The 11,912-nt window shown below is 34.8% G+C and overlaps 1 annotated feature.

Moving 5' to 3' along the window:
- Positions 2,238-2,760: an enhancer, noted in NCBI's record as "H3K4me1 hESC enhancer chr4:59925530-59926052 (GRCh37/hg19 assembly coordinates)". NCBI's record gives its function as "activates a minimal SCP1, AML or CMV promoter by ChIP-STARR-seq in primed H9 embryonic stem cells {active_cell/tissue: H9 hESC(primed)}" and the evidence as "EXISTENCE:reporter gene assay evidence [ECO:0000049][PMID:30033119]".

Below are 11,912 nucleotides of genomic sequence, written 5' to 3'. Positions count from 1 at the left end.
ATACCTGTTCATATGTTCATATGTCCATACATTTGTTTTCTATCATATAGATATTGTGTCTGATTATAGATAGCTACCTAGTAACCCATCCCACTCCTTGAAAACTTTTGTGAGCTTCTGAGATATTGAATAACCAGATAAATTACCAACTCCAGAAAGGTAATCGAACATTTCTTGATACTTAAAATATATTTGAATATTTAAAGTTTAATGCCCAGACTCTGAGCAACACATTCTAATTTCATGTTTTAGTAAAAATAATTCACATATAGAAAATCACAATTCTAGTCACATGAGCAAAACAGTGTAACAAATAAATGTTCTATGAATAATGTGAATTCAAACAAAATTAAGTGAGGCTCGGAAATATCTAGTGGAGTTCTGATCTCCTCACAGAGAGATCACAGATAAGGAAGCTGATAAGGACAAAGTGCTATTTTTTAAATGAGAAAAGGGGATGAACTCATTACAATAAAGCCTAGGTCCAAGACATTGCATGACACAGAGAAGCAGAAGTCACTTGGGATGAGAGATATGTGGAAGCGTCTTTTCTGATAAGCTAAATTGAAACCTACACAGGGCTTCACTAGGAGGGCAAGAATTATCCCTCAAGGCCAAGAAGGAATCCATAACATCTAGTACACTCATGCATCAATGTAGTTCTATGGTTTTGACCTGGATAGAATTCAGACTGAACTTCTTCCTCTTAATCTCAGTCAAGTTATTTTATTCTCCGTGTGTGTGTCTGTGTGTCTGTGTGTGTGTGTGTACATGTGTGTGTGTGTTTGTCTTAAGTATTAAATATGAAGACTACTATATTATGGATTCATTGTAGGAATTAAATAAAATATTCTGTGTAGATCATTTTAAATTATGGCTGTTATATAGAAAACTCAATAAATGGTAGACTATGGTAAGGATGTTACACTTAGGAAACAGCATTTAAACACACCCTCTTCATTGGATGGAGCTTAATGTGATTGTAGTATTAGTGTAATTTTATTACTTTTATTTTAATGTAACAAGATTTCAATACACTTCTTTCAAATTAAGTATACTTATTAAGTTTACCATTGACAGGCAAGCATCTTACTTACGCTGCATTCAAAGGAAGTTATTTTCCTGCTCTGATTACCTCTGTTACCATAAAAGTTTTAATTTTTCACGGCTCTGTGGTTCCTGTCTTTGGAATAGTCTAAATGTAATTTAGGTACTGCATCACACCAATATTTATAGAGTATATTGCATTTTATGATCGCATAATGAAATGCAAGCATATGTAATCTAATAAATTTAATTTAGAAGAAAAAGCACACAGAAGCAAATACACACACTGCTTTATATATTCCCTAAGGAAACGTTCTTGCTTGCAAACTAGCAGCCTAGCATTGGTGACAATCAACATATTATGAGACTATTGACTATCTTGTGAGTCACAAATGGAAAAATAGCCAACCTGATACAGCAGGAGGCAGTCAAATCCCTAAGCAGATGTAGGTGGGTCCCCAGTGAAACCCAGCCTTCAAGCCACAGACAGTTTAAACCCTGACAAGCAAGCTACAAGTCTCAAATAAATCCGTGGACCAGACTGAGAACCTCTCTTCTTGTTTGGTGCAGTTTCCTTTTATTGATCCCCTCTCTTCACTATTTTACATATACCTACCCTTATTTAATTAGTTTCTTACATTGTTGTGCCCATCTTTGAGTGCTGGCTTTTTTTAGCCTTTTTTTTTCATCTTTTTTTCATACTCACAAAACAATTATCACTCACTCCTCCATTTGGAGCCAATAAAAGCCCTGGACTCAGCCACACTTTGGGGAGCTACCTGACTTTGGGTAGGGGGCCGTCTCCTTCAGGTCCCCTCTCTGCAGAAAACTGTTCCATTGCTCAATACAACTCTCTGCTCTGCTCACCCTCCAGTTGTCAGCATAACCTCATTCTTCTTGGTCAGGGAACTAGAACTCGGGAACCACGGAATGCAGGTATGAAAAAGGTTGTAACATTGTAGCCCTCCTCCCTCTCTGCTACCACCAGGCGGTTGCCCCACATGATGGGAAACAGCCTCAGGACCCAGCCCAGGAGTCGCGGGCCAGGTCGGAGCAATGGAACTGAAAGAGTTGTTAACACACCCCCATCCACCAAGCAGATGGTGGGAATAACATGCACTCTGGGGCTCTGCGGTCACTGGTGTCTGAGTTTCTCCAGCACCACCCCATTCCCCTTGTCCAGACACCAGCGCCCAAGGTGGAAGCAGGTCACAGGATAACCAGCCCAGCTGCAGGCTGAGTGCAGATCCCAAGGTGAGCATGGGATCTGGGCCAGAAAACAAGCCATGTGCAGCCAGCCAGGCCAAGTGGGTGGAGTACCTCCTGCGGGGAGCCTGGGGCCAAGCAAGACCCCGGGCAGTGGCACCAGCAGCCACAGAAGTCTCCAGCTGGCAAAGTGGCACCAAAAAAATCCTGTGTCAAACCCAGGGTTGTGAATAATTAAGCTATCTCTAGACAATTAATGATGAAATAATATTACTAAGTAGTTTCGCTGAATGCAAATTAACATGATGGGCACACGCACAACTCTTGACACATTTGAAATTCCAAATAACTTACATAATTTCATACAGGGTTCAGAGATCCACCATTGGCAGAAGAGCAAGGACAACAGAGCACGTTACAATAGGGCCAGCCATCTTTCCTTTATGTAGCAATTGGGTAGCCAGATCACTAGTTACTATCTTGCTATTCACACATGAATCTGTTGGTTTTGGCAGACTGGACTGATCCTCAGATGAAGAGTTAATTTAACCCTCAAACATAGGGTTAAATTAGCTCTTTCTATACTAGTTAGCTAAAGGAGAAACACATGCCATCCTTGAGGATGGAAACTACTCTGGCCTTATAATGGGTTACAGAAATATTTCACACACATTATCTTCTTTACACTTTAATATAGTATTTTGGGCATAGAAAGCAAAACCTTCATTATTTCTACTTCAAAATTATGGAAACCAGATCTCAACAGATGAGGTTTAAGTCTTCAGTTTTTTCTCAAAAAGCAAATAATGTAATTGAAATATAAACCTCAATTCTGAGCCCATTCTAAATTCATTTTCTGTGTACTTCTTTGCCTTTACTATGGTTAACAAACACCATACAACTTTGCTATGTGACATCAGAGTGCATGTCACAAATGTCCTACTGCTATAACTGAAATTTCCATTATATTTACAGCTATTTCTTTGCCATCCATCTTATTTATATGGCCATCACAGATAAGCAGGCTCCTAATGAGACATCTAATGCAAAGAAGCTGTTAATAAAGAACATTCCCATATCTGAATGTGACAGCTATATCTCATACAGTTCTTGTTCTTTCAGATTATAATAGATGACACTCTATTTTGTTAACCTGTGATTTCAGAAAAAAGCATAATGCTGCAAAAGGCCAGCTACTTGTTTGCCTTGCAGATAAACTTCTAAGTTATTTCACCCATTATTTCTCTTAATAAACTATTTAATATTTTGATGCTAAAGATTAGTGGCAACTTTCAGTTCATTCTTTCTCTGATGAATCAGAATTATGTATAGGTTTCTCCTCCTGAAAAAATTCTCCCTGGGACTGAGACACACAGAAAATTGTAAGAACTACCTGTGTTTCTCCTTTAGCTAAATACTAACAAAACCAAAAAGAAAAGAAAAACAAAGGTCCTTTGTGTCTTATTTCTAGAGCCTTTAAACAAGCTATGCAATTCTAAAACTGCCTCCTAGATTCCTAATGAGGAATTGTGATGATCTCTAGGCACAAGCAATTTTTAACCAGGAGAGCTAAGTGCATGCCTGCACATGTGACCGAAGGCACTCTTTATCTCACAGGTTTGTGGCGGCTCTGAAGACCCTTCTCACTAAACAACAAAATAAATCTTTCTAGATTCTTGAATTTCATTAATTTCTTTCTTACCAAAGGCTCTGCTATTATTATGTGTTGTTTGAATATAAGGAAAAAAAGAATAAGATGTAGAGGGATGGTCAATACAAATATAGATATGTATTTCAAGAATAGGTGGTTGACTTTCTCACTTCTCAAAGGAATATAATTTTAATTGATTCTAATCTTATTGTGTCTTTATATTGGTTCTATGTATTCCAGCATTATTAACCGCATTTTGTATTTCTATGTAGTACTTCTTCTCTTATGTTTTATTTTACTACTTTTAAATCCCTCAGTAGGATGTAGAGTTTTAAATGGTATGACTTTATATTAAAAAGTTTTAACAATATATCTGATGCCACAAACTTCTCAATTAATAAGTTAATATTTTTAATTAATAATTAATATTTTTCTTATCCTTTATGGAAGAATGGCAAAGAGTACAGGAATAATTTCAACAGAAAAAAATGAAATGAAACAATATTTGCCAAGTTCCATTAAAACTACTTTACAAATATTGACTCATTTAAGCCTTAAAACATCTCTGCGAGATAGTCACTATTATTAACCCCATTGGACAAATGGGAAATGAAGGCACTCAGAGGTTGAAGAACTTGATTGCTCAAGTTTATGTAAACAATAAGTAATTCAAGAACAAACTTAGGCAAGCCCAGTCAGGGTCATACTCTAACCCATGATATCATACCTTACATGTCAAATGAGCCTGTTCCAGATTTAGCAACCTCTGGACTGGGCGATTTTCTAAATATCTGAAGAAGTAATTTCTAGTGAGATTATCACTGTCTTTCTGGTTTTATCCTATAGATTCAAATTAATCTGAACAAAAATCTCAGCAAGTTTTGTTTAATAAATTGGCAAGCTGTTGGCCGGGTGCGGTGGCTTGCGCCTGTAATCCCAGCACTTTGGGAGTCCAAGGTGGGTGGATCACGAGGTCAGAAAATTGAGACCATGCTGGCAAACACGGTGAAACCCCGTCTCTATTAAAAATGCAAAAAATTAGCCGGGCGTGTTGGCGGGCGTCTGTAGTCCCAGCTACTCAGGAGACTGAGGTAGGAGAATGGCGTGAACCCGGGAGGCGGAGCTTGCAGTGAACCTAGATCCCGCCATTGCACTCCAGCCTGGGCGACAGACTCCGTCTCAAAAAAAATAAATAAATAATGGCAAGCTGTTTCCAAAATTCATATGAGAATGCAAAGAAAACAGAGTAGTCAAAATGATGGAGTAAAGGATAAAGTTGAAGGACTACAATACCTGAATCGAAGTTTTATATAAAGGCACTGTAACCAAGACCTTGTGGCATTTGTGAGGATAGACATGTAGAAGAATGGAATAAAATAGAGAACCATAAACAGATGCACACATTCACTGTTACCTTATTTTCACCAAATAGTTGAGGAAATGTAATGTCTAAAAGGTAATCTCTTCAACAAATGCTGTTAAAGCAACTGAGCTTCTGTAGGGGAAAAAAGTATTACCCTCTTCCTTTCCTCAAACCATACCAACAATTAACTTGAAATTAATAATAAACCTAATGGAATAATTTGCTCTATAAAACACTTCTGCAAACAGAAAATCTTTGTGGCTTTGGCATAAGTAAAGGTTGCTTAACTCGCATAGAGTAAGCACTCATATGAAAAAAGAAAATTAATAAATTTGAATGTATTGAAATTAAAACATTCTGTTCTTTGTAGATATATTCAAGATAAAGGCAAGCCATATACTAGAATAAAATTTTATTTCTAAATTATTATATACATTGAAATTAGTTAAGATACCTATTATTGACATTATTTATAAATCATATATGACAAAAAACTTGTATCCAGCATATTAAGTATATATAAAGAAGCAAAGATATGCAAATAAGTAATGAGAACACAACATCAAATATAGAAAAAGAAATCTTTACAGCTGCATTACAAAACAAAAAATAAAATATCCATACACATAAATATTTCTTAACACTATTATTCATTAGGAGAATGCAAATTTAGGCTATTATATATCTACAAAATCAGCTAACATAAAAGGAATGACAGTCTTTACATCGACAAACATGTGGACTGACTAGAAGTCTCAAGCGTTACTGGTGGAACTATAAAATGATGCAACTACCTTGGAAAATAGTTTGGCACATTCTTTTTATTTAAAACTATCCTTGCCATTCCACCCAGCGAGTCTATTCTGTGGCTTTTTATTTTAAATAACTGAAAACATGTCTACACAAATACTTTTTCATGGATTTTTCTTGTAGCTTTATTAAAACTCCAGAACTCAGCACAGTCCAAATGTCCATCAACAGATAAATTGGTAAATAACTTATGGTATAGCAAAAGGATGTGATACTGCTCATTAACTTAAATAACAATATACCAATGCATGCAAAAATATCACTGAATTTCTAAAACATTATACTGAGTGAAATAAATTAACACATAAGAGTAAGACTTCTGTAGTTCCATTTATATCAAAGTATAGGACATACAAAACTAATTTATAGTGACAGAAAGAAAATCAGTGGTTGCCAGGGTCCAGAGTCAGGTAGAATTTATTGAATATATGGTGGTACAAATATTTTATATCTTGATTATTATTGAGACTACATTGTGGATTACAATTGTCAAAACTAGTTGAACTATATACTTAAAAATAGGTGCACTTATTGTATGCAAATTATCTCTCAATAAAGTTTATTAAAACTGTAAAATGAAGGACTGTGGAAGCAGTAACTGGAATAAAATAAGGAGCAAAAAGAAAGGAGCTCTCAATCTGAATTATCAAGTGGCTATATGTTGACTTAAAACACATCATTTATTTCAATGTATGTAATCAGATGCAGATTCGCCCAATTCCCATACAGTTGGCACCTGCATTGGGATAGCATGCTAGAAGAACTACTGGCAGAACAATCTAATACCTTTTGTTTTATGTAATTCCCAACCCTGAGAAAGAACACAAGCAATTGCATATCTCTGTTCTATATATCCATTAAGTAAAATATTGTACAACAAAAACTCTTTGATAATTACTCACCTGGAAACAGGTATTGAATATCTATTCTCCTAAAGAACACTAAGAAAATACCCCAAGCTTTGTTGAATTATTATGAGCCTATTTTTTATTTTTCAATTTTTCATACTTTTTATGCATTTGGTTATATCTAAGCTGGGATAATAATTTATCTAAATAAACAAACTTCAGTCAAATAAATTTTCCAAAGCTAGGGATGACATGTTTCTTCATGTAGAAGAAAATTGAAGAGACTCGGAATCACAGAAAGAGAAAATAGAAGGTTAACTGTAACTTCATTTAAATCAACATGTTCACTTTGCAAGTATGAAAAACAGCACTCTGAGAAAGAAACCAAAAAGAGTATGTTTGATAAAATTGATGATTTTCCTAATGACATATATTGTTACCAGACCTTATGTCAGAATTCCAACCTTCTCATTCTCAATTCAGTACTCTTTTTCTAATACCTAGATACATAGTACTAGGAAAATAGTTTGGGATTATTATTATAATAACTATTGATTATAATTATTACAATTAATTATAATTATTGATTATAATTATTACAATTAATTATAATTATAATTATTAATTATGTCACATATTCCTGTGACACATTATGTTACATATAATTATAATTATTAATTATGTCACATATTTCTGTGACATAATTAATTCACTGAATATTCCCATTCATATTGTCCTTATGTTGATATTATGGTTAACAACTTAAGTCTTTCATATTTCCCACTGGAGTATATAAAGTCTGTGAAGAATCTATGCATCTGGAATTTTTGTAATTCTCAATGTGATTTGCTTATACTTAGTAAAGTAAGGTTGAATGTGGTATAAATTTATAAACTAATTTAAAAATAATAAAGAAGTTACTTGGTAACTTCTCAGATTATACAGTATTATATTTGATTATTATAATCACTTTTTTTAAGAAATGAGGAAGATTAGACCCTGGAAGCTTAAAAGACTTTCTCAACATTAATTATTTAGGAAACAACCTTTATATTCTAGTGGAATGTTTTTATGAACTACACCGAGGGCTTTCCACTTTACCTAAGCTGTTGTCAACTCTCTTACACATGTTCAGTCAATATGAATAAAAAGAACTATCTGCTTTGTATTTGCCATTATTATTTCCTGCTCATTCTTGAAAAAAATGAAAGTATTCTTATCAGTGAATTGAAAAAAGCATCATTTATCAGTGGAATAGACATGGAGATTATAAAGCCTCTCTACTAAGCACAGAGAATAAACTCTTCTCCACTTTCCATTATTACATACATAATTTATGCTTGAGGGATTTTTGAATGAACGATAAAATTTGTAAGAAAAATGTCTATGACATTTGTAATAAGTTGTGCTTGCATCAACTGCAGTGTCTGTTTCATCTCAGTGACAAGCTAAGAAATGAAAGTTTTCTCATAGCATCTTTAAGTATTTCATTTTGAAAGAGACCAGGTGCTTCTATATTTCATAAGGGTGGGGTTGAATTGTTTTTTGCTACATAGTAGGAAAGACTCAACTTATTGTGGTGAAATTGATAATTCTGATGACTTATATGATAACTAGTCTTATTGTTTTCTAATACTATATTTAAATTTGCTTCTCTACCAGTATAATTGTATTTCATGGAGTTTTAAAAGCATCTTTAATGATCATTGCACAAGCAGTTGTGTGTGAGTGTGTATATATATGTATATATATTCTATTACTTTTTAAATTATCTCTTGTTGCAAAACTGAGGAAACAGAATGCCTTATAACTTCAAGTTTATACTTGGCCATTTTAAGGTCATCAAATGGTTAACTCTTCTAGAAACCCTGATATTTCTCAGCTAAAGGTATATTTTTATTTACTTATGTACCTATTTACTATCCATGTAACATTGCTGCAATGATAACTCTCTTGTTTGTTTATATTTCCCTATACTAACCCCCTTGAATAGCCCCTGACACAAGGACTTTCATAAACTAACACTTTTGCTTGCTTGGGCCAATAGGCTAGCAGGCAATATGAGATAAATAGTGACCTAGGAAGTGCTTTAACACTGATGCTTGCTCTGATGCTACTCTGGAAATCTTGACAACATGTAAATAAACAATTGCAGCCTAGCCTGCCATGTGCTTAGAGACTAGGTGAAGTGATGTCCATTTACCCCAGCCCTCCTAGGCAAGACCATCATTAACCAGCAGCCCCACCAGCTCAGAGGATCCATGAACAAACACAGTTGAGATTAGGTGAACCAGATCAAGAGCAGGATGAACAACTAGCTGGGCCTGAGCCAAATTGTCAACCTGGAGAACTATAAGCTAAATAATAGTTGACTTTTTAAGTCCTTAAATTTTGGAATGATTTCTTATGTAACCAATGCTATCAAATATATTACCTGTCTTCAGTAACTGCACACAATTTTTATTAGGCAAGTATTTTATCTTGTTCTTCTTATAGTTCTAGCACCAAGAACAGTGCCTGATACACCATAGTGTTTTGAAAATATTGGGTGAATAAATAGTGAAGAAAATAATAAGGGAATATTATTCTAGCTTCTCAAGGTTCTTATCTGTCACAATTGGATCAATATTTATTTGCTTCATATGCCTGTTTTTTTTTTTTTTAATTTGAGATGGAGTCTTGCTCTGGAGTGCAGTGGTGGGATCTTGGCTCACTGCAACACCCCCCGCCCCCGCCCCCGGGTTCAAGCGATTCTCCTGCTTCAGCCTCCTAAGTAGCTGGGACTACGCATGCGACACCAGGCCTGGCTAATTTTTGTATTTCTGGTAGAGACGGGGTTTCACCATGTTGGCCAGGCTGGTCTCAAACTCCTAACCTCAGGTAATACTTTCACCTCACCCCACAAAGTGCTGAGATTACAGGCCTGAGACACCATGCCCCACCTTCATAGGTCTTATTGCCCTTAAATTCTTTTTTCTCAATTACATTCAGAAATCTTACCAGAGAAAATTATGTCACTTTTCACAAGTGGGATAGCCTCTCTGTTTGCTCAGATCCCTCCTCTGTGGAGGATGGAGTGGGAGTGGAAAATGTGTTACAGATGTAAGGTTCTCTCTTACATTGAATAAAAATAAGAATACCTTTATCCAAGTACAGTATTAAGGATTACATGGAGTATGGGTGGATGCATAGTTTGTTTAGTGTAACATATTGTTAAATGTGTGTACAATCACTGTACGAATATAAAGTATCTTAATCATTGATATTCTCTGAGAGATATTTGCATTGTTGAAATTTTCCTGCATCTGTAAAAAGGTATAATGCCAATATTAACCTTCTGATTTTCTTTTCAGCTGAGTTTAGTTTCACATGCTATGGACTCTATCACAGATTACATGGAATAGTGGCAAGGGGACACTGGGAAAATGTTTTCTGTCTCTCTGACCCTGAGTTATTCATGTTTCTTTGCAATGATCTGTAACAACACTATGTTCTTGGTTTTATGAGTATGATTTTTTATAAAATGGCTGCTCTTATATTAGAATATGGCTAGTTTTCTATTTTATTTTAATTTAAGGTATGTAGGGTTCATTTTATCATAACCTTGCATATTCTGTTAACACTTCATGCTTTTTATAAAGAGATACTCATAAAAGAGAGGCTTGAATCAATTCAAATTTGAAGGATAAGAAACAACTCATTATAATGAAAGATTACAGGCTATAGTCACTGAAAGAATCCTCAACTCTTCCCATAAACTGAGATTTGTTATAATTGAGGCCAAGTGGAATAAGAATTTAGGGAGGGTACCTTTAAATACCCCATAGGTTACAAAAATGTAGATTACCTTTCCAGCAGAGGCTCTTCTTAGTGTGCCTCAAGATACTGTCTTCCTATGCAGTGACCAAAGACATGCACAAGAATGCCCATAATATTATTAACAATAGTCAAATAATTTGAAACCATAGCATTATTCATTAACATTAGAATAGAGAGGCAGCTGCATATTTAATAAATAAAATATTATATAACAATAAAATTATATAAACTATAACTGCATACAACAAAGTAGATGTATCCCACAAATTAATCTTGGGAAGAAAATGGCAGCAGTGTAAAAATGCATAATATATGGTCTCATTTATATAAAATTAAGCAAGAAAAGCAAAAATAACTTTGATGTTAAATATCAGGATAACCGTTGCCTTTGGGGAAGAAACAATGGGGAGTGATTAGAAGGCAAAACAAGGGGGATCTACAGCAATGTGGGCAACTTTCCATTTCTCATTACATTTTAAATTCAATGATTTTTAATTTCTGCAAATTACGTATGTATTTTTTGTTAAATTTTCTAGTCATTTTTCATAGTTTTGATGTTTACTGTTTTTAAAAATATGTATTTTATCCCTTTTATTTTTAATAGTTAAAAATATTTTGAACTTCTGTTGTGATTAAACAGACAAAAATAATTGCCATCATAGAGCTCACATGCTAGTCAACAAATAAAAACAAAATCAAAATAAGGAATTGTTTAGTGACAAACACAATAGAATAGAGCTAGAGGGATTATGTGCCTCTTGGGAGGGTGTTTGTACAATTAATAAGATGATTCCAAAAGACTTTACTGACATGTCTGGGCAAAGACCAGAAGTGATCAAGGGAATGAACTTACAGATATCTGGACAAGAGAGGCCAGGCAGATGGAACATCAACTGCAAAGCTGAGAACCAACGTGGAATGTGAGCATTTGAGGACCAGAAAGCAAGCCACTGTGGCTAAATGAGAATGACAAGGGGGATAATGTTAGATGGTGAAGTCAGAGTTATAATGGATGGCCAGTACAGGCAAGGCATTGAAGACTCTGGGTTTTTCTTTGGATGATGTGGAAAACCACTTGAGAGTTTTAAAGGCTGATATGATCTATCCATCATTGAAAAACATCACTCTTGCTCCCCTGCTGAGAATTGATTCAAGGATGAAAAAGGCA

Source organism: Homo sapiens, chromosome 4 (genome assembly GCF_000001405.40).
Source record: "Homo sapiens chromosome 4, GRCh38.p14 Primary Assembly".
In the NCBI taxonomy this organism is placed as follows: domain Eukaryota; kingdom Metazoa; phylum Chordata; class Mammalia; order Primates; family Hominidae; genus Homo; species Homo sapiens.
The sequence above is the reverse complement of the archived record's forward strand: the minus strand, read 5'-3'. Positions and strand labels throughout refer to the sequence as shown.